The sequence below is a fragment of the Homo sapiens genome, chromosome 2 (genome assembly GCF_000001405.40).
Source record: "Homo sapiens chromosome 2, GRCh38.p14 Primary Assembly".
NCBI lineage: Eukaryota > Metazoa > Chordata > Mammalia > Primates > Hominidae > Homo > Homo sapiens.
Genome location: NC_000002.12, coordinates 18,287,167 through 18,311,730, shown reverse-complemented (window position 1 = coordinate 18,311,730; position 24,564 = coordinate 18,287,167). Strand labels below are relative to the sequence as shown.

The following is a 24,564-nucleotide window of genomic DNA, read 5'->3' as shown; positions in this document are numbered from 1 at the left end:
AGCTCACTAAACAAATATTTCTCCATTGAAGCACATGTTTGCTCTCCCATTTCACTCTGTATTTACTTATTCATAGCCCATAAAAAGCAGTTAGCTGGAAACATTCATGTTTCCTCATTACATTCCCCAAAGTGGGAGGTTGTTTTCCTCTCATGTAGCATTTTTCCAGTGTGTGAAAATCTCTGGCCTCAAAGCACACTTGTGGGAACCCATAATTGAGTCTGAGATCATCCAACAGCAGCAGAAAGCTCTTACAGCCCCGAGAGCCTCAGGGAGCCAGGAAGCTTACAGAACCTTGCTGAAAAACACGGGATCTATAGCTAAATCCAGAAAGCCCCCGGAGACCATTTGGACCAACCCCTCCCACAGGTGAGAAATAAAGAAAAGGGAAGCAGCCTTCGAAACCCTCTTATAAATGGCAAGATTTCAAGCCCTCTCTTTGCAACTGGCTTTTGTTTTTCATTGTTCACTCCAAACCTGCAACTTTTTCCGTTTTCAAATCACATTTTCTACTTACACCCACACTCTTATTACCCCAGTTGGAGACAGGGAAGTTTTCTTAGAATCTTTCCTCTTCTCCTTCCTACCCACTTCATCATCCAGTACTGTCCGTCCTTCTCCTTCATTGTCTCTTGTATCTTCCCTTGCTCTGGAATCTGCTGTCTTTCTACTACATCCATGAAGTGATGGGAGGGTCTGGAGATTTGACTTCACAAATATTCCATCCAGTATTCCTTTACATTCCCTCATATATCCTCCCTCCTGTGGACTCTTGAAACATCCCTCAGACACATCTGTCTGCCATTAGTCTTACCTCCTCTGATCGCACCTCACATCACCCCCAAAATCACCCTTTTAAAACTACTCAGGAAACTCTAATGCTTTCCTACGCCCTATAGCCAAGTCTTAAACTTCTCAACATTGCATCTGTCACTTTTAAACCTAGGCTTAATCTAATTTTTTTTTTTTTACTTCCCACCACTTCCCTCCATAGGCACACACCAGCATCTTCATGCTTCACACCTTCATGTGCTCTGCCCCTTCCCCAGATGATAAACCAACTCAGCCTTCTAGGCCCAGGTCAAATATCATCTCTTATTTTGTATCATTTTTAATCTTCATGCAGTTTTCAAATTGAGCTAGTATCTGAACCAAATCATTTAATTTCAAATTCTGTATTCTTTGTACTATTCTACAATTATCTCTGAGCAGTGACTTTGATAAAGTGTGGACCTTAGTAAAGAAATTCACTGCCTTCTAAAGATAGATTTATTGCAAAAAAAAAAAGTGTTGGTCAGATTAACACATGCCATATTAGGATCAAATTCTTGTGTTTGGAGGGAAGAATTTGTTATTATTTACTTAAAAGGTGTAAGTAGCAATATGCTGTTTTACGTAGTCAAGAATCAAGGAATTCCAGCCAAGATGGATTTGCCTTCAGATTGTGGCTTTTCAATTCAAATTTGATCATTCACTTTTATAATAGAAGTTGCCAGCCATGGATGCTGTGGGAGGAAAGAATGAATGGCTTAGCCAGACTCTTTACTGGGCACATGACTCTCCAAAAAAATCACTCCTTATTCTTGTCCTCAAAGAAACATGAGCCCAGCAGGAGATACAAAGAGTACCCAAACATGGTTCCAGCTTCATAAGCCTTCTTCCTGTTGTGTCTTCCATTGTCTTCCATTAACATTCAGATCAGAATTCAGTTAATCTACGCAGCCTCCGCCAGAGAGTTGGTTTTGTTTGCCATTTGTTTATTATTGAGTTTTCATATCTCCCAGCTAAGGTGCTGCTTCAGGTACATAATTCAGATTAGTCCTTTGGCCAAGTGAACTCTTGGGTGAAATTTGTCCCTTATCACTGAACACAGCATGGCCGGGTTTGTTCGGAAAGGTATGGCTGCTCCTTCAGGGGAATCCCAGCATGTCACAATATGCCAAATATTGTGAAAGAAGAAAGGGAAAAAGAGACTAGGAAGAAAATATCAGCACTTATAAACAGAGAAAAGATATTTTAGATATTTAAATACTATAAATCACATATGGTGCCTAAAAGCTATATGGATGTTTATTATTCAGTTCAGAAACTTGTGCATAGTTGTATTTACATTCAACTTGAAATTCAGTTTTTATTACCCCAATTCTTGGTCTAAACATGTGCCATGGCTCATAAATATTTGTTCTATGAACACATAGTACTGTTGTAGAAATAAATAAACATTCAGTTCAGAATTCAGTTAATCTAAGCAGCCTCCCCCAGAGAGTTGGTTTTGTTTGCCATTTGTTTATTATTGAGTTTTCACATCTCCCAGCTAAGGTGCTGCTTCAGGTACATAATTCAGATTAGTCCCTTGGCCAACATTTCAACCTCTGGTGATTTTGAAATAAAGTTGGCACAGCCCAGATGGCTAGCTTTGGATTGAGTCTTCTTGCTGAGTATAGAATCATTGTTTTGTAGAATGTCCCTTATATTTGGCCATTCTTGCACTGCTCTAGAGAAATACTTGAGACTGGGTAATTTATAAGAAAAGAAGTTTAATTGCCTCACAGTTCTGCAGGCTGTACAGGAAGCATAGTGGCATCTGCTCCTGGGGAGGTCTCAGGAAGCTTCCAATCATGGTGGAAGGTGAAGAAGGTGCAGATGTCTCACATGGCAGAGCAGGAGCAAGACAGAGAGAGTCAGGGAGGAGTTGCCACAAACTTTTGAATGACCAGATCTCACAAGAACTCACTATTGGGACAACAGCATCAACCCATGAGGGATCTGCCCATGTGATCCAAACACCTCCCACCAGGCCCCAGCTCCAGTACTGGGGATTACAATTCAACATGAGATATGGGTGGGGACAAATATTCAATCTATATCATCCCCTAATTGATGGTCAGTCTGTACAATACCACCAAATACCTAAGGGATGTTTTTCTCTGGGAAGCTTCAAGTAACTGAAAGAAAAGTATATCTGGAGCTGAGCTGCTGAAATCTTCATGATGTTTCTTCTTTATGGTTCCTTCTTAGTGACTAATAACTTCTGTTAGATGTTCATAGAAAAAAAAGCAGAATTATTATTACTAATGTTATTGTGAATAACTGTACTGATCCTTACTTTTTGGAGACTCAAAAAATTATGATGAGTAGAGCTAATTTCCTTTCCCTTGTGGGAGCAGGACTTAGTGACTTGTACCTAATGAATAGAGTACAGAAAGGGAAAAATAGTAACTTTACAGTTACTGTAGTTACAGTTACCAAGAAATCTGGTAGATACCACCTTAACTAAGAAAAGTTGCCATTTCCAGTGATAAGTCATGTTGATATCATGTATTCTTTGATATGATATGATGAGAAGTGTACCTTACCACTGTGGTATTCTTTCAAAAAGCTATAAACCCCAGTAAATAATGAGTAAGCAACAGACAAACACAACTGAGAAGCATTCTACAAAATACTAAACTAGCACCCTTCAAAAGTAATAAGGTCATGAAAAACAAGGCTAAGAAACAATCAAACTGGGGTAGACTGCGGAGACATAATAACTAAATGCAACATGGTAGCCTTGAATGGATCCTGGAAGAGAAATAGGACGTTAGTGGAAATACTAATGACATCAAATAAATACTAATGATATTGAATAAGGTTTATAATTTAGTTAATATTGTTATGCTACTGTTTATTCGATTTTATGAATGCACCTTTGTTTTATAAGATGGTAACATTAAATGAAGCTGAGTAGAGTGTATAGGAACTCTGTCCTATCTTTACAACTCTTCTGTAAATCTAAAATTATTTCAAAATTAAAAGTTTAAATAAGTCACAGTGAGTAATTATAATTATTTTCTCCATTTTATAAATATAAAAAACTGCTTGCTCAAGACAATGAAAAAAACAAGCCACAGATTGGGAGAAAATATTTGCAAAATACTTATCTGATAATGGACTGTTATCCAAAATATACAAACAACTCTTAAAACTCAACAATGAAAACCAAAAAATCTGATTAAAAAATGAAAATAGGTTAAGGATGTGACAGATGCTTTACCAATAAAGACATAGATGGAAAATAGGAATATGAAAACATGTTCCACATCATATAACTGTAAATTAAAGCAACAATGAGATACAACAGCACACCAATTAGAATGGCCTGTATTTAGAACGCTGACATCAAATGCTGGTGAGAATGTGAAGCAACAGGAACTCTCATTTATTGTTATTGGGAATGCAAAATGATACAGCACTTTGGCAGTTTCTTACAATACTAACCACATTTCAACCATATAATCAAGCAATTGTGCTTCTTGGTGTTTATCCAAATGAGTTGAAAACAAATCCATAGAAAAACTGCACACAGGTGTTGATAGCAGCTTTATTCACAATTTTCAAGACTTGGAAGCAACCAATATGTCTTTCAGTAGATGAATAGATAAATAAACTGTGGCACATCCAGGCAATGAAACATTATCCAGCCCTGAAAAGAAATGAGCTATCAAGCCATGAAGACATGGAGGAACTTAAAATGCATATTATTAAGGAAAGGAAGCCAACTTGAAAAGGCTACATACTGTATGATTCTGATTCTGTAACATTCTGGAGAAGGCAAAACTTGTAACAATAAAAAGATTTAGTGGTTGCCAGAGATTAGGGGGTAGAAAGGGATGCATAGAGCACAGAGGACTACTTATGCCGTGAAGTGATTCAGTATGATACTAAGATGGTGGATGCATGTCATTATACCTTTGTTGAAACCCATAGGATGTATAACACCAAGAGTGAACCATAATGTAAACTATGGACTTTGGATGACAATGATGTGTCAATGTAGGTCCATCAACTGTGGGGGATGTTGGTAGTTGGGGAGGCTGTATGGGTGAGAAGGAGGTATATTAATCTGTTTTCATGCTGCTGATAAAGACATACCGGAGACTGGGCAATTTACAAAAGAAAGAGGCTTAATTGGACTCACAGTTCCACGTGGCTGAGGAGGCTTCACAATCATGGGAGAAAGCAAGATGGAGCAAGTCACATCTTGTGTGGATGGTGGCAGGCAAAGAGAGAATGAGCTTGTGCAGGAGAACTCCTCTTTTTAAAACCATCAGATCTTGTGAGACTTATTCACTATTATGAGAACAGCAGAGGAAAGACTTGCCCTCATGATTCAATCACCTCCCACTGGGTCCCTCCCATAACATGTGAAAATTCAAGATGAGATTTGTGTGGGGACACAGCCAAACCATATCAGGAGGGTACAGGGAATATATGAGAACTCTCTGTACTTGCAGCTCATTTTTGCTATGAACCTAAATATGCTCCAAAAATTAAAGTTAAAAAAAAAACCTCTGCTTCCTAGATATCGCAAATCTTATATGTGTGCCTGAATGCCATAAGCAAGTCAAACGCAGCATGCCCCAAACTGAACTCATCATCTAATATGTCTCTACCACTCTTCAATTTCTGATTTGCATTAATGGCCTAATAATCTACCCAGGGCTCAAAATTAATTCTCCACTCCTCTCATTCTGTGCCTTGAATCTATCAGTCACAATATCCTGTTGAATTCAATCTTGTATATATCTTTCAGATCAAACTTTCTCTTTTCATTTTCCTGGCACTGTACTAAAAACAATTCTTCACTCTAGCTCTGCTATCTTCCAATCTGCCCTCCACCTTGTCTTCAGAGTGGCCTTCCAGAAAGCAGTATGATTAGCTTCCTCCCTGCATCATAACCTCCAGACCCACTCCACTACCCACAGAATAGGACCAGGGTAGGCCTACAACTGCCACCAACCCTTTGTTCCATCCCTGAGGAGCTTAATAGTGATTCTTGCCAATGCCAGGCCCAGTCCTACCTTCTACCTCTGTACCTGCTGGTCTCTCAGTTCTGAGTTCTTTTCCTTCCTCCCACAGGCATAGCCCTCGCTATCCTTCAAGCCAATACTCAGATCTCTCCTCCTCTGAGAAGCTTCCCCTACTAGCCTCTAACTCCCTGCAGTGTGAGATGATGTCTTCTTTGGGCGCACATAGCATTTTGCTGGCACTTGCAAAAACATCATGTTCGAATTATTGTGCTCAGTTATGTGCCTGTCCAATGACATGATGAGATCTTCACCAGCATAACCCTGTCTTATTCAACTTCATATAGCCCAGTGCCTGGCATTCATCTAGGCCTAATGCTTCAAGATTTCCACTAAACTTTTTATTACTGAGAAATTGAAAGCCATCGCACAGGGCAGCATCGTTATGTGTAGGTGGCAAACTGGTGTCCATGTGATTGTGAGTGAATGCACAGTATAAGATACCCTTATTGACAGACATATGTGTTTTTACTTCAATTTACCCATGTCAATGCTGGTATGTATCACTCTTCCTTTAACCATCATGATTCATTTATTCATCCATCCATTTGTTCATATTTGTTTTAGAAATGGTGGTCCTTGAATGAGGCATACTTTTTTTTTTTCCAGAAACTACAGGTAAAGTAAATTTTACTCTTTCTTTAGGTTTCTCCCAGGATGCGATTTGTAAATAAATGATCACATGCTCTTTACTTGTGAAAGCAATGAGAATATTCAAGATTTGAGCTTCAGCTGGTTCTTGATTAGGTTTGACAACTGCGTCCTAAAATTCTCTTCCATGAAGAATGAATGCAGTGTTTATGGCAGACAACCATCCTAGCCAAGAAAAATTTGAATAATGCAAGTATTGCATAATCATGTTATTTGTATCCCTTGACAGCAGAATTTACAATGCCTCATTTAATGAGAAATTGAATGGAAGATGTGTTTGAAAAATTAATCCATTTTAATAATATATGGCACTGATATTGGCCGTGTCTGTCAGGTTTTATACCTATAAACTAAGAGCCCATGAATATCAATTACAGTAAAAAATAATGAGATATGTATTATTTCCCTAAGGAAATTACTTTTAAAAATATGCATTCTGACACTCTCAAGATTAATTACACAATTATGCAGTTCCAAAGTGTAATCAGTGAAATTCTAAGCAGCAGTGAGAATGAGTATTTATATTTACTAAAAACTCAGAAGCCTCACTTCTGATGAAACTTTACAAAGTCACTGAAGTTTAGAGACTATGGCATTCCAATAAAAATACTTATCAATCTTTTATCTAGCAAAGTCTGGGGATTGGGGGTAATTTAACAGTAGCAAAGAAATAATGATTAGAACACTGCAAAATACACTGAGTCAAAACAAAGGCTGAATATTAAAGAACCAAAAGAAACAAGGTTTTTCACCAAAGGGAGGCTAGAAAAATAGATTTAAGAAGAAAATTCATTTCTGGAAATGTTTTTACAATGCTTAATAGAAGTGCTACTTTGGAAAGGCCGACATCGAGGTGAATAAACTGGGATAGAAATCATAAGTGAGAAATTAGCTTTGAGGCTCAAGAGTTTCCCACTCAGTCCCTGTAGTTCTGAGAGCCCAGGTCAGAAAGTTATACAAAACACAGCCTAAGTAGATTAATAGCATCTTGGGGCCCCACTAGCACCCCTGAGATTCCCATAATGTCTCAATGAGAGATCACCTCTTCTGCAGAGATGAAGCTCATCACATCTCACTGGAGCTAATTTCAAAGTCAAGCAGCTCTGATTATTTAGAAAGGCCTTCAGTACATTAAGCAGTATCAGAATTATCTGCTCCTATTAATCACCATTCCTAGCTCCTTTGTCTAAGACTATTCAGCCATTATTTGAAGACAGCTACCATGCTTCCCTTCCCTCCTCTGCTCCCAGGCTTCTGTTCTCCAGGCCAAAACACTTCAATTTCTTATTTCCAACATGTAATTTACTTTTCACTTATTTCCCAAAAATCTAAAATTTTTAGAGAGCAAAGGCCTTGTCCTATTCATCCAGCTATCACCAAACCAGTTTCTGGCACCCAGTATACTTTCCGTAAATGATATTCAGACAAATAGCTTTGTTTCCTTTCAGTAACCAGGTCCATCTCCTGTGATTTTATTGTTCATAAAATTAGGTTCATAGACATTGTTCTGTCTGTACGTCAACTTCAAGCTTATATAAAAGGACAATAAGGCATAAATAATTCACATAAACTCCTCAAAATTAGGATGAAAGAGGCTCAAGGGTTTGGGGAAGAGAGCAGTCAATACTACCCTCAAGAGAATCAAAACAAACATTAACCTCTCAGAAAGAGTCAGGCTGGAGAGAGACACCAAGAGAACTTGGTAAGTCCTTGGTGAGAACTTGGGAGCACACTTTTGCATGTTTATATTCCTTTACCATATGTTCTCCTACAAAGCTTATAATGTAGGGCAGCAAGAAAGAACATGTGTAGAGTATCACATCTCACTCTGTAGGCTCATCTTAGTTATAAAACCTCTCATAGAGAAGAGAGGAAGTTGGAGCAGTCAATGGAAATGAAGGAGAGGCTTCCCAGGCCTGAGCATAGGGAGGCTGACTTGGACATGGAAGGAGCCCTAATACTTAGAAAAGGAAACACTAGTGTGAGTGTTCCTGACAAAAAGCTTAATAAGAAAATATATATTATAGAAAATATAGAAAATATATAGAAAAAATATAGAAAATATATATTATATCATATTATAGTTTCATGTTTCATGGACATGTAATTGGGATCATAGGGCTTGTTTTAGATCAGTTTAATATAGCCAATAGTCTTGGCCTTCCAGAAGGATCGATGGAGGCTGGTGGCCAAAAACTCCAGGCCATATTATTGGCCTCCCTCTTAGCTGACCCTGCTTTTGAACAGGACTGTTCTGTCCCTCAACCTTCCCTGTCTATCAGCAAATGATAAAGAGAATTTTCTGTGCCAGGAACAATGTCATGGAGGCCTAAAAGATGAAATCCCCTGTGCTTAATGTTCCTCCCAAGGTAAGGCCTGGAGCTCCAAAGGGCATTGACCTGTTCTTGGTTTTTCACCCTATATAGGTGACAAGTACCTTAAAAGTAGGCAACGACATTTATTCTACTCTTATGCCGTTCTGAAAACCTAGAATACCAATTAGCACTCAGCTTCTGACTCACACTTTTTAAGATTTTGTAGTTGGTTAAAGTAAAATGACAGTAACTGAAGCACACAACACATTATAAACATTGGTCATAATTACATCTACATACTGAATTATCTATACAATTAAATAAATTATATAGCACTGATACTTGTTCATGAGGAACCTAGAATACTTGCTTACACATATTAGTGGTACATATTTATTTGTTAAAATCATCAGAATCCATTTTGTGCACATAACACTACTAAGAAATAGGAAGGAGTAAGAAAAATAACAGTCTTACCTTAATAAATTTATTACATATATTATCACAAAAGTGATGCAACCAAGGCTGCTACAAAGCAGATTGTTTTATTTTATACATTCTTTAAATGTATAAGTATGTTTCTGAATAAGTCTATTTAGAAATAAAAATATATATTTCAAAGATTCTGGAAAACCAGTGATATGCAAGATATCACCTATTCATTCTAGATCAAACATTAACCAGAGTCTATAATCAATGTAAGGAAACAAAATATTTTGCATATTTCTAGACTGGCAATAACTTGATTTTTAAAGTTTTTATTCATGACGTGGTTATATGCAAGAGCTGGTGGTTAGAAGACAATTAATGTCTTGATAAATATACTTGCCATCCATTCTAGATCAAAGTCATGAACATCTGGATAAAGCTTCACTTGGTCTGAAAATGAATCAGATAATGTTAAAGTATCCAAAATATTGACTTAATCACATCTGTTATTTTATGAGGATGGACAGGAAAGAAATTTAATGCTGATACTAGCATAATAATTTGGGGATTTTTTAAAATACGAAAAGATGAGTTGTCAGAATAGAGACTACAATGGCTGGAGCCCTCTCTAAGAAGATATTATAAACATAGCTTTCTTAAAGATCCCAACCTAACAAAAATTTTATGTATCTACATTTCTAGAAGATACAGAATGCCAAATATTCCAATGTAAGGATGGTCCTGAGAAAAAAGATCCTTGGAAGTCTTTAGAGTGGTAATCATATGCCAATGTCCCTGCTGAGAGATGGTATAACCTCATGTTGAACAGCTGCTGTTAGAGTGGTAAGAACATAATTCCCTAATGGCTTATCATCTACCTTGTGGGTTTTTCTGGAAGTAAACCAAGGCATCAAACTGAAACTCAGGAGACTGAGAATGTAACTAAATAGTTATAGGTCACTAATGTGAAGTCAAACATGGACACCGGAGATGGGCTGTAATTGATCTCAAGGATCTATGTCACATGAACCAGTTTTTCCTTTCAAGTCCAAGGTACTATGGTGGGAAAGAACCATGACGAGGTCTGGGAATCAAGCATCCTTTATTTTTATCTTGGCTCTGATACTAAGCAGCCTTTTGATATTGGCAAATCAATTCATTTTATTGAGTTTGTCTTCCAAAAATATGGAGAATCTCCTTACTTGAATCACTGTTTTTGTGAAGCTCCAGCAACACTGTGGGTGAAAGTGTTGTGCCCCTGTGAGACAGCATTGTATAACAGGGAAAGATGACATGGTCCTGATTCTAAATAAGGACAACGACTTTCCATATTTATGAATCAATCAGAGACACCCATACATGAAGGCAGAAAAATAGATGAGAAGCTCAGATGCAATATTCCTGCAGAAAAAAATGCTGCAGCATTGTGAGGTTTCAACACGCAGATTCTAGAGCTGGTATTTTGGTTGCTGTTATTCAACCTACAAAGGATTTATTTCCCTTTACTGAATTCACAGGTTAGGCCATATAAGTCAGATCTGCTTCTCTTGAGATGAAGATGCTGGCCCCGATCTGTCTGTTTACATAATGCCTTATGTGTTGTTTCCCCTAACATAACCTCACATGCAATGATTTGCCACAGAACAAAGTGTGCAGTATGCAGAGCAAGGATGGTTTTTTCTAGTCCACACAGGAGAACAATAAAATCCAATTAATTTAAATCAATTAAAGCGAAATATCTTAGTATCTTCTAGGTACCTCACACTGCTGAGTGTTATTGGACATAAAAGATGCACAACAATGCCTGTTGACCACAGTCTATCTGAAAAGGCAAGAAGCTAAATGTGCTGTATAGTAAGCAACTTACTCTGCAAGTTAAGCTGCACTCTCTGTGCAACGTTTAACAAGGTATCTTTCCTGACTAAGTCGTACAAACAGAAACAACAGGAAAGATGTCTGTTAAAAGTTGCACACGGAATCGATGATGAGTTAGGATAAGGACCAATATCTCCTAACCATCAGGCTAGTGTTCTTGTCACTACTTCACACAGAGTTCATGTTCAGTATACCTTTAACAGATGGCTCTGCAGCTTTTTTTTTTTCTACATTCAGAAGAGATCTTCTTTTACAACAGAAAAGACCTATTGTAGTTCATAAAATTGGATAATCCAAAACGTGTTTATCAATAGTACTAGAAACATGCAAAATTCAGTCTGTTTTTATTTAAATCAGTAATCCATGTATTACCAGCTACCAACAAGGCTATGTCTGAGGCTTTAAAGGATGAGTAGAATTTTCTACAGGAAAAAAAAATTAGGGAAAAGCATATTGAGAAAGTGTGGGGATACATTTGCAGATCAGATTTACACTGCTATTAAATGCAAAAGTGAGTGCTTTGGCTGCTGTTCATTCGTAAGTGTGTGCACAAGCCTAGACAGGGCGACGTACAGGCTTCATGAAATATGCATAAGCCATCGCCTAATTTCCTTACAACGATTATGCAACTATTTCAAAGGTATTGTTCAGGCGTTCTAACAGCGTTTATTCCTACAAAGCCTGTATTTGTTTCATGAGCTTTTATGCGTAATTATTTTGATGGACTTACCCTAGAGTTAGTTCCCTTTATATTATTTTACTATTGTACTCATTTTTCATTCACCCCACAACAACACTGTCCTCATTTAATCTTTGTGAATTCAGAAAGTTTAGGTTGAATTATTTTCCCTTTCCTTTAGAAAAGTAGTCTTACAGATAAGACACTCCTTGAGTAACACCAAAGGCATCTCAGCCACCAGCATTCCAGAAATTTCTGCAGGCTGATTACACATTGACAGAAGCAGACAGACTTCCTCTTGTCCTGGCTCATAACTGTTTGACCTCAGGAGATAACCTAAACTGGGTCAGGCTCATTTTGAGAAAATAAAGATTCAATGTTTCAATGTGTAGGCTGGACATGGTGACTCAAGCCTGTAATCCCAGAACTTTGGGAGGCCAATGTGGGAAGACGGCTTAAGGCCAGGAGTTTGAGATCAGCCTGGGCAACATAAAAAGACCCTATCTTTCCAAAATATTTTGAAAAAATTAGCTGAATGTGATGGTGTGCACCTGTACTCCTGGCTACTTGGGAAGCTGAGGCAGAAGGACCACTTTAGCCCCAGAGTTTCAGACTGCAGTGGGCAATGATCATTCCACTGCACTCCAGCCTGGGTGACAGAGTAAAACCCTGTCTTCAAAAAAAGAAAAAAAGATTCAATGTACGTATAAATATAATTTTTATTACAAGGCAAAGTGTTTTTAAACAACCAAATATAGCTGGTAATAAGTTACTTTCTCAGTAATGTCTTTCCTCCATTCTCTATAAAAGTGCACATTTCTCCTTTTTCAATTTGGTTAAACTGCATGCTTATTTTTGCCTATGCAGATACAACCTTTCCTCTTTTTTTGTTTATTTTATCTTCTATGAGTAGAAAGGCAATGAGATTTGAAATCATAAGTGGGACTGAATACTAATAATGTGACCATGAAAAAGTTATTTTAAGCCTTCACTTCCTCACTCGTAAACATATAATCGACAGCTTGTAAAAGTATTATGTGTGTGTTCACTTGTATATATACACACATATATATACACACATATATCATATATGTATGAACAAAATATTTACCACACATTTTGGGGGGAGGATGGAATGAGATAGTACAGTGGGTTGCTTAATATACGTTAGTCTTTCTCCTTCTCAACTCTGAAACTTAGACTGATCAATTGGACATATTATATAATATCTCTGCAGATAATCTTTTTGTTGTTGCTGCTATTTAGTACCAAATCAACATCCATGTTACCATGGATGAAAATCACTGTCATTGGTCCTGAAATATTATCATCAAAGTCATGACTTGTAGAATTATGTCCAAAGAGAGAATAAAAAAGGTCAAGATGATTAAGTAAATATATGTAAAGATTTTCTCATAGACCCAACCAACAACTTTGTAGCTATATTAAACTAAAGTCAATATAACATGATCCCACATTAATAGAAGTATAGCATTACTCAAATTGTTATGAAGATAAAGAACTTACTACTCTCCACAGCAGCCTGTTACATTGTTGAATATCTATTATTATTATTACAAAAATATTTATGTTCACTGAGTCCTATAACATTACTGTAAACCTGTGCTATGCCTTCTGGGGGCACATTAGCTCAATTCATGCTTCACAGGTTCATCTAGATATGATAGCTTTGGCAAAATGTATTAATAAGATTATTCATAAGAACATAAGCAAAGCAGATGCAGAAAGATTAAAAATAACATTATGACTACGAAGCATTTTAAAAGGGCTACATAATTTTACCACATGTATTACAGAGCAAAAGAAAAAGAGAGTGAGAGATGGAGAAGGCAAAATAGGAGAATTTAATAAGATACCTGTAATGTATCAAAACCGATTTCAGATGTCAACTCTTTAGTCCAATCTTCTCACAATATTTCAGAGTCCATCACTCTCTCCTCTGATTTCATCTGGAATTTTCTAGTTTTTCCTGCTATAGGCTTATTGCCTAGTGTACTAATAAGCTGTTTTCTATTTCTTTCATCTCACTGGACTGTGCCAGGCTCCAGGACAGAGACAGGTTCTTATTTTTCCCTTTTTAGGAACTCACTCTTGATTGAATGAGTAAATTCGACATCCAGGGAGGAAACTATCAGTACAGGGAGGGAGGTGCTTCTGCATAATCATATGTATTCCACATGCTGGATGTGTTGGGCGGGGTTACATCTAAAGAGGGAGAATGCATGCATGCCTTCTCTGGCCCTTTTGATTTTGATATGCTCAGGAAGAGGATACTATTATAATCACCAAGCGTTTCTATTCGAATTCCTCAATAAATACTACGACAATTTTATTTTATGAAATGGAAAGGATGTACATTTAAGCAAGAAATTGTATTGCAGAAAGATCAGGACCCAGGAAATATACATTTTTCTCTTCTCTGGATTTAGCTACATTTGCCTGTTTAACACTATAATTTCTCTGTGGTAGTAGAATACACTCTTCAGTTTTTCTATTATTCTTTCTAGGTTAACAGTATCAGTACTGAAATAATTTCTCGTTAACAGATACCTTGGTTATATATATTTTCTCCTCTTTGAATATTTGTCTAAAAATCTCTGTGTTTGCAAGAAGTCTCTGCTTAGTTTTTTACTTTTGACACACTGAAGTGTGTATGTGTATATATTACGTGTGTACATATAAACCCACAAATATATCAGTTATTATATAATACACATCCATTATATATCAAATATATTATGTGTATATATGCATATATATTTATACATATATTAGTATATATTAGTATACATATATACATGTATACATGTGTATATATACATATACTATACTATATATACACTATACTATACAATATATAGTGTATATATATACTATATATAGTATATATATACACTATATATAGTATATATATACACTATATATAGTATACATATATACTATATATAGTATACTATATATACTATATAGAGTATATATAGTATACTATATATAGTATAGTGTATACTATATGTATACTATGTACACTATACTATATATAGAATACATAGTATATATACTGTATATATAGTATACTATATATACTGTATATACTGTATATACAGTATACTGTATATACTGTATATATAGTATACTGTATATACTGTATATATAGTATACTGTATATACTGTATATATAGTATACTGTATGTATACGATGCATACTATATATACTGTATATATGTATACGATGCATACATATATATACTATATATGTATACGATGCATACATATATACTATATATGTATACGATGCATACATATATACTATATATGTATACGATGCATACATATATACTATATATGTATACGATGCATACATATATACTATATATGTATACGATGTATACATATATACTATATATGTATACGATGTATACTATGTATGTATACTATGTATACTATGTATGTATACTATGTATACTATGTATACATATATACTATATATGTATATTATGTATAGTATACTATATATACTATATATAGTATATGTAGTATTCTATACATGTATAGTACATGTAGTATTCTATACATGTATAGTACATGTAGTATTCTATACATGTATAGTACATGTAGTATTCTATACATGTATAGTATATGTAGTATTCTATACATGTATAGTATATGTAGTATTCTATACATGTATAGTATATGTAGTATACTATACATGTATACTATATGTAGTATAGTATACATGTATACTATATGTAGTATAGTATACATGTATACTATATGTAGTATACATATAGACTATATATACTGTGTACATACTATATATGTATACTATATATACTATATATACATACTATGTATACTATATATACAATATACTATATATACAATATACTATATATACTATATAGTATATATACTATATATACAATATACTATATATACTATATAGTATATATACTATATAATATACTATATATACTATATAGTATACTATACATACTATATAGTATATATACTATATATACTACATAGTATATATACTATATATACTGTATATATAATATATATGTATACTATATATACATATATAGTATATATAATATACTATATATACAGTGTATATAGTATACACTACTATATACAGTGTATATAGTATACACTACTATATACAGTGTATATAGTATACACTACTATATACAGTGTATATAGTATACACTACTATATACAGTGTATATAGTATACACTACTATATACAGTGTATATAGTATACACTACTATATACAGTGTATATAGTATACACTACTATATACAGTGTATATAGTATACACTACTATATACAGTGTATATAGTATACACTACTATATACAGTGTATATAGTATACACTATATACACTATAGTATACACTATATACACTATAGTATACACTATATACACTATATATAGTATACTATATATACACTATATAATATATATAGTATAATAGTATAAGATACTATATAACATATTATATATTATACTATATATAATATATAATATATTATATATTTATATTTTTATAATATATAAATATTATATTTTAAAAATATATATTATAAAATATTTATTATATTTTATATTATATATAAAATAATTATAATATATATATTATAAAATATATATTATAAAATATTTAAAAATATATAATATAAAAATATATATTTTATAATATATAATTATATTATATTATATAATATATAATATAATATATAATATATAATAGTATAATATACTATAATATACATATAATATATAGTATAATATAATATAATATATATTATATATAATATATATACTATATACACTATATATAGTTTATATATACTATACATACACTATATATAGTATGTAGTATATATAGTATACTATATATAGTATATAGTATATAGTATATATAGTATACTATATATAGTGTGTTTCTATAGTATACATATATTGTATACTATATAGTATACTATACTGTATAGTATACTATAGAGTATATATATACTGTATATACAGTATGTAGACTATATATACTATACATACTACATATACTCTAGATATACTATATATGTATACTATATATAGTATACGCATACTATATATGTATACTATATATACTATATAGTATACGCACACTATATATGTATACTATATATACTATATAGTATACGCACACTATATATACTATATAGTATACGCACACTATATATACTATATAGTATACGCACACTATATATACTATATAGTATACGCACACTATATATACTATATAGTATACGCACACTATATATACTATATAGTATAGGTATACTATATATGTATACTGTATATACTATATAGTATATATATAGTACATATACTATATAGTATATTTATACTATATATGGTGTACTATATATACACTATAGTATACTACATATATAGTATATATGTACTATGCATACTATATACTATATATAAATATGTAGTATACTATACATTTTATATTATATATTATATATTATACATTATTATATACTATATATATTATATATGTGTATATTATATGTGTATATGTATACACATACATACATTATATATTAGTATACTATATACACTATAACATGTATAGTATACTATACTGTTATCCACACATATATCCATTATATATATATAAAATATATATTATGGGTATATATAGTATTACGGTGACACATATGCATATATACATACATACATACAACATACCTATCCAAACCTAAAACACCAAATAGAATGAAAACAAAAATGTTTTAATATATTAGTATTTTTCAAATCTTACTATTTTATTCAAGAAAAGATAAATAGAATTGATTAAAGATTATAATGAGTCACTCGAGTGTCAATAATAGAAGCAAAGTGCAAATTATAATAATTCCACTTTTAAATGAAAAAGGGCACATCTGAGCAATAAATTATATTGTAGAAGGACCAGGACCTCCATATTAATTTTTTTTCTATTCCAAGCATGACACTCCACTCTGCTGACATTTATGAATAGACCATCGCCAATTGTGACATTTCTATGTTGTGTGTCACACAGACACTTATCTTTATAATCACTTTTCAGGAGAAACTGTTCAATATGATAGTTTGAGAAAATGGTATGTACATCGGGGGCAGTAATTCTGGTGAGGCAGACACAAAAGCAAAACAAAATTACATACATTCTTAATTTTTTCTCATATATGAATGATTAATTTCTTAAATAACACACCGGAATCCTGTCCTTATATGTCATTCCTTTTCTACATATGGTAGAAAGGTTGTAAAAAGCACAACATTTTGGAGTAAGAATAGTATGTTTAATATATATGAGGGTACTAAAATGTTTTGTGTAAATCGAATTCTGATTTCTACGGACTTGCATTGCCATCTTAAGGCTTTGAGATTTTCACCAAAGCCCACTCTTCAGGAGCACAGCCAACTGGCCTTAAACTAGTTGTGAGGGGGCAGGATCAGCTTAAAATTAGTCAGCAAAATACTTATCAAGAGCACAAAAAGACCATGAGGGACCGTCCATGGTCCTCTAGGAATTAAAAATGTTTGTATTGTGGGAGAGATGTTAGTGTAGGGCCCCAAATTCACAAACAATGGAAGATGAGGATTAGAGCCAACTTATTTCTCACTTTGGTAAGGAAAACAGCTGCTGCTACACAGGAAGATTCTGTCAAAGCAAAGGAAATAAGAACCTAAGAAAATAAGAAGATAGTTTGTTAAAAGATCTGGGTACCCCTGGAACCTTTATCAGCTGGCTGTGTGACCATAGGCAAGTCACTTCCTCTCTCTGGGCTTCTTGCTGGTCCCCAAGATGGCTTCCAGTTCCTCATAACAATATACGAGTTCCAAATTATTCCCAGTATATGTCCTGGCCAAATATGAATCCTGACCCTGTGTAGGAGAATTCTAGGGCCTGAACAAGTCATTGACTCATTGTTAATGCTTAGTATCAGTGGTTTGCAGAGATTTGGTAAGAAGCAGAAATAATATGTGTGAAGCCCCAGCCACAGTGCTTGGCACTTTACTGGCAATGATAGATGCTCATACTATCACTTATTACCAGCAACCTCAAAGTCAGCACAATATGTGCCTCAAAGTCAGCAAATAATTATGTGTTATTATTTAAACGCAATGATTAATAAAAGTATCCACGTATGGTAGAATTCACTGATAAATTTTCCACTGAAAAAGGGATACTCTGACATAAACAGTTACTTGACTATTGACTTGCCTTTCAGCCAAAAATAATTTAGCTCAATTTTAAAAATAATTTTACCTCATATTTGTGTAGCACTTCACAAATGCCAAGAATATTATCTCACATGACAACCCAATAAGATAGAATAGGTATTTATATCTCCAGATTATAGACAAGTAAATAATGGCTCAGATTGATTTCTTCAAGGTCACATGAGTAGCAAAAGGCCAGGATGGGGCTAACATTGAAATCTCTGGACTCTGATATAGCATTTATTTATTCACATTAAGACTTCTAGCTTTTGTTGCCTGATGTCTACTTTTCTTGTTTTTGCCTATATGCATAAAAACAAAGATTAAGTATAATGACCATCTTACCTGATCTGAAAATAAAGTGGCTATGTACACAGTAGTTTAATTCACAACAATAAATCACCATGCACACGCACACAAACACATACATTTTACTCTAATATCAGAAGATAATAAAAGAAATTAGTTATTTTACCTAGGTTCTTTTTTTGTTGAAACATAAAGATGATTTCTTATTAGACAGCTTACTGTAATGTCAAATGACAGTGTGTTTATTACTGACATTTTATAAGACGTTTAACCATTTGCATGAGAAGCTGCTTCAGCCCAAGCAAAACTGGAAATAGAATACATCTTCCATAAAAAGAAAGGTCACAATTGGATATTCACCAGAGTAATTTAAATTTTTTAATACCATGGTGCAGCTAAGGTGACAGCAGAAAGTTGTAGGTGTAAGAAAAAAATAATTCCTTTACCCTGCAGAATTCAGAAGAAAATGACCAAATACTTCAGTGGAAAATTGAGGGAGGATTATCACCCCTCCACACCATGTAAAGTACAGTTATTATTCATGCTGAATTACATAGTTATCACAATCTAGCACACAGTACTGTTGCTGATAATCAGAGTACAAAGAGACTAAAGGTAATTAGGAGCTACCATATAAATCATTTTGAAGCACAGATGAATTATCCTCTTTTGTTTCTTAAGTTATTGGTCAGTGTTCAAGGTATTATAAGTTTGTAGAGTTTATTTTTTTTATTTCTATATAATATTTTATTCAAAGAGTAGAAGTTATTTTCCTTAAGAAAATAGTCCTGAATTTTTTTCCCATTGTGGTTCATTTGTTTTTGCTTTTGAGTTACACAACATATTGCAAACAGTGACACTGTGATTTATAATAAGATATACGTATGTATGTACATGTATGTATGGTCTTCTCCATGTTTCCTGGCACAGATCCCTAAAACCCTTGAAATCTCTAAAGTGTGAGTGCCTCTTTTATGCTAGTGAGATGGTTTATGGCTGGTAGCTTCAGGATGGGGCTCATAGTCAGAAAAACCAAGGCATGATTTGGGAGTTGAGACTTCCACCTCCACTCTCCAGCCTCCAGGGAAGAGAAAGGAGCTGAGGTTTAAATTAATCACCAATGACCAATGATTTACTCCATCATGCCTAAGAAATGAATGCTTCATAAAAACCTAAATAACTAGATTTGGAGAGCTTCCAGATAGCTGAATATGTGGAAGTTCCTGGAGAGTGGTGCACCCAGAGAGGGTATGGAAGCTTTGCACACCCCATCGCATACCTTGCCCTGTGTATCTCTTCATCTGGATGACCATCTGTATACACTGTAATGTCCTATGTAATAAACTAGGAAACAAAGCTAAGTGTTTCCCTGTGAATTCTGTGAGCTTTCCCAGCAAATTAATTGAACCCAAGGAGAAGGCAATTGGAGCCCCAGTTTATAGCTGGTCAGTCAGAAGTATAGGTGACAACCTACTACTTGCATTTGGCATTTGAATTGGGTGAAAGCCTTGTGGAGCTGAGCCTTTAGCCTGTGGGATCTGCCACTATGTCCATGTAGACAGTGCCAGAATATAATTAAATTATAAGACACTGAGTGGGTGTCCACTGGAGAATTGGAAGAAATCTCTATACACATTTTGTTGACCAGAAGTGGGATGTTGTGTTGAATATTGTTTAACTGTGTGTGAGAATAGGAAAAACATGTTGGTTGTTCTTGTATCTCTTTCACAAGCATGTGGTCAAAAGCATTATGCAGAGATTACAGCAAGATGTTTATGTGCTAACAATCCAAATCTGCAGGCACATGAGTTCCTCAGCAGAGTCACCACACAGACTTGGGTGTACAGAATTGGACCCAACTTAAAGTCCAGTCTGTAATGACCAATGTCTGCTACTAAAAAGAGAGAAGCAAAGCCTTATAAAAGAATCAATTTTTATCTAACCCACACAGAAATTGATCAAAACTGACCAATGCTGGTTAAAGATCATTGGCTAGGTTAGAAGCTCAAAGTCACTCTTCTCTACATTTGGGGCTTATAATAATGTCTGCTAAGAAGGTTACTTTGCTCCTTATCTGGAGGAAACACACAGAAAGTAAAGATAATGTGAATCTCTAAATGTACACATACACACACTCATAATTACATCCCATGAGACAAGAAGAGTAAATTTTTAGAAACTATGATTTGTAGATATATTTTCTCTATGAGCTTATGGTAACAGATAGTGATAGGAAATAGAAAATTCTTGTTCATATTCTTTTTTAAAAGGAAAAATGACATTAAGTCCAGAAAGTCAGAATGAATGACCCATTTTAAATGTACTGATCTAGATTTCTATAGGAGTAGCTTAGTTATGATTATATAGTCTTCCTAAGAGATTTTTTAAAGAATGAGTGTGAGTTAAGTGAGATCTTCAGTGGTGAGATTATTTATACTTAACTGGTGGAAATATAAACTCCAGGAGCCAACCTGAAACACCTTCCAGCATCTCTCCACCTTATTCTTACCTCCCTCTAGTTTCCTATGTGACCATGGACTCTTGCATAAGTCCAAACACACCAGTAGCTCATCTAAAGCCTGGGAATTACTGGTCTCCCACCGTTGACAAGGCTGCAGCTCCTTAGAATGACTGACTGCTTCACAGTGGTCAGATCCCAACTCCTTGATAGGTATCAGCCCTTCTGGAAATACTATATCATAGTCTGTAGAATTGCACAGTAAATCGAATGCATCGTAAATCCCACACATAGTCTCTGTTTTACTAAAAATTAATAATATATTTGTACTTATTTGTTAATAAGTAACATTTGTTCTTAAAATCTACCCATTTCAAGTCAGGAAAAGTTCAAAAAGACATGGAACCTAAGCTATTGTGTCTCTCTTGCTACACTTGTAATTTCATACAAATGATTTAAGAATCCAGATAATATAATCTATAAAAGGAGAAAATGTTGAATACACATTAAGCAACTATTGACAAAAGTATTATTTTAGTATACGTGTCAATCTGAAAATTAAATATACCAATAAGGTCAGTTTTCTGAAAGGAAATTAGGTTGAGCAAGAGCTACATATAAGAGGAAAAAGGTCCTACTGTGAAATGGCCACAGTGAGGAAGGAATCCTAGGATCACAGGCTAACAAGGCTATGGGTCACCATGACAAGGTCCAATATATGCAGCAGATGGATCTTTCTCTCTCTCTCTCTCTCTCTCTCTTTCTCCCCCTCTCCCCTCCTCCACTCTCAGTTGTGGAAATGCATAAATATTTCCCTCTCCTAAATCCAAGAGAATAGAAGATGAGATAGAGATAAAGTCACTAAGCCAAAAAGTACAGAGTGTGATAAAAGAAATGAGAAATATCAAGTAAAAAAAAGTCCTTCTACTGGCCCAGGAATTAAAAGTCCCAAACACGAACTGCACAAAGGCTTCCCAGATATCAGCAGCACCACGTGGCCATATCTCAAAGCTTAACTCACTACTCTTGTAGAGAAGATTAAATCTTCATTTTGGGAGTCACTGAGAAACAGAAACATGAAACCCAACATGTTTAATTTTCTAAATGATAGGAACGTTATAAACCACAACTGCATTTGGTCTTTCCCTCTCAGTCTCCTCAAAGCATTTCTACCTTCACTGAGCTTCTGAACACAGTCGAAGTGGTTGCATACAGCTCCTCAATGAACACCGTTGACAACTTCAACTTCCCGATATGCTAAGACTAGCCTAGCCCACATGGAGGGAAGGTTCTATCCCAGCTTCTGACACTGCTACCTGATACTCTGAAATACTCTTTTCCCCTTTAACTCTTGGAATTGCTGATTGCAATATTGTTGGTGTGTCACTGATGGAGTCTCTCCTTGGCCAAATTTTAGTTGGGCTTCTCTGAATCCTCTTTCCAACTCAGTCCTAACTTTTGGACTTCTGTGTCCTTCTTTTTATCACTTAATTTTAGCAAGACTCCTGTTGGTCAGTTCAGCCAGAATCTCTTCTTACCCCGGATGTTTCTTCTTAAGAATTTTCCATGCACTGACCCCACTCTGCTCCTTGTCTATAAATTCTCGTTTTTTCTTGTATTCAGAGTTTAGCCCAATCTCTCTCTCCTATTGCAAAACTCCATTGCTGCAATCCCTATACCTATTGCGATAATCCTGAATAAAAAGCTTGCTTTAATGTTTTAACAAGTGTCATAAATAATCTTTTTTCTTTAACATCTTCTCTAGGTTAAAGCCCTGACCCCTGCCATTCACTATGGGAGAAGACAGCAACAGCTTTTCTGCCCCACTGGTGTTCTCTAGGGCTTTCTGACCCAGGTCCTCATCAGCGCAGTCCCTAGCGTTGAGCCCAGCAACCCTAGGATCAAGGCCTTGAAAGACAAGGTTTTGGGATCTCCCAAAGGTAATTGGGATGTTTGGCATTGTTTGCATATTAGTCTAGAAAACCTCACATACATCACTTGCTCCAGCACAGATTACACTTCTTAAAAAAGACCCGAAAAGAACATCAGGATATTAAAACACAAAACGCAACACAACTGTATGTGAATTTCTGTGCTCAAGAGAACATAGTGAAAATTAATGTTGTGATCTTTCTGAGCACATATCTTTTGCCAACAATGTTTCTTCAACCACTGTTAACTAAATCCAAGGACCTATTACATCGCAAATGGAAGATTAAAGAGAGTTTTTTTCTAAGCAGATTTGTTGTACTCTTGCAAGGCAATCTCTTGCTCAATAGAATTGTTTATCTATGGAAAAATATTTTACTTTGAGCAAACCTCCCTCAAAGACCCTAACATAACTACTCTCTGATAGCCATTTTAGAGACACATTGAGCAAAAGATTCACAGTAACAGGAAGTTCATGAAATTACTCCTTTAGCACAATAAATTGTTCAAAACAATTCTAATATATTGAAGAGTTAAACTTCCTCAGATATTACAATTATAAAGATTACAGAAAAGTATTTTATATATATAGTTATCTAAGATTCTTTCTGTGGGTGGAGGGAGAAGTGGTATCAATTTGCACTGTGTACAGATAAGTTCAAGATTTGAGCATCTTCTAATCTTATTTAATAAACTAGTCAATATTGACATAGTCTCATGACAGGATTAGGCAGCATTGCTTAAAATAAACAGGTATCAATCTTGAAAACTAGAGAAACCCTTCA

The 24,564-nt window shown here is 34.6% G+C and overlaps 1 long non-coding RNA gene across 3 annotated transcripts in view; it reads left to right on the top strand.

Moving 5' to 3' along the window:
* The first annotated feature begins 239 nt into the window (after positions 1-239).
* Positions 240-24,564, top strand: part of LOC105373451 (uncharacterized) — a 39,122-nt gene continuing 14,797 nt past the window's right edge. For 2 of the 3 annotated variants that reach the window (XR_001739301.2, XR_939766.3), the window contains exons 1-3: positions 240-369; positions 9,947-10,087; positions 23,616-23,790. This is a non-coding gene — a long non-coding RNA (uncharacterized LOC105373451). Of the gene's footprint in view, positions 370-9,946; positions 10,088-23,615; positions 24,398-24,564 lie in introns of those variants that run through there. The other variant, XR_939765.3, reaches the window with a different exon arrangement.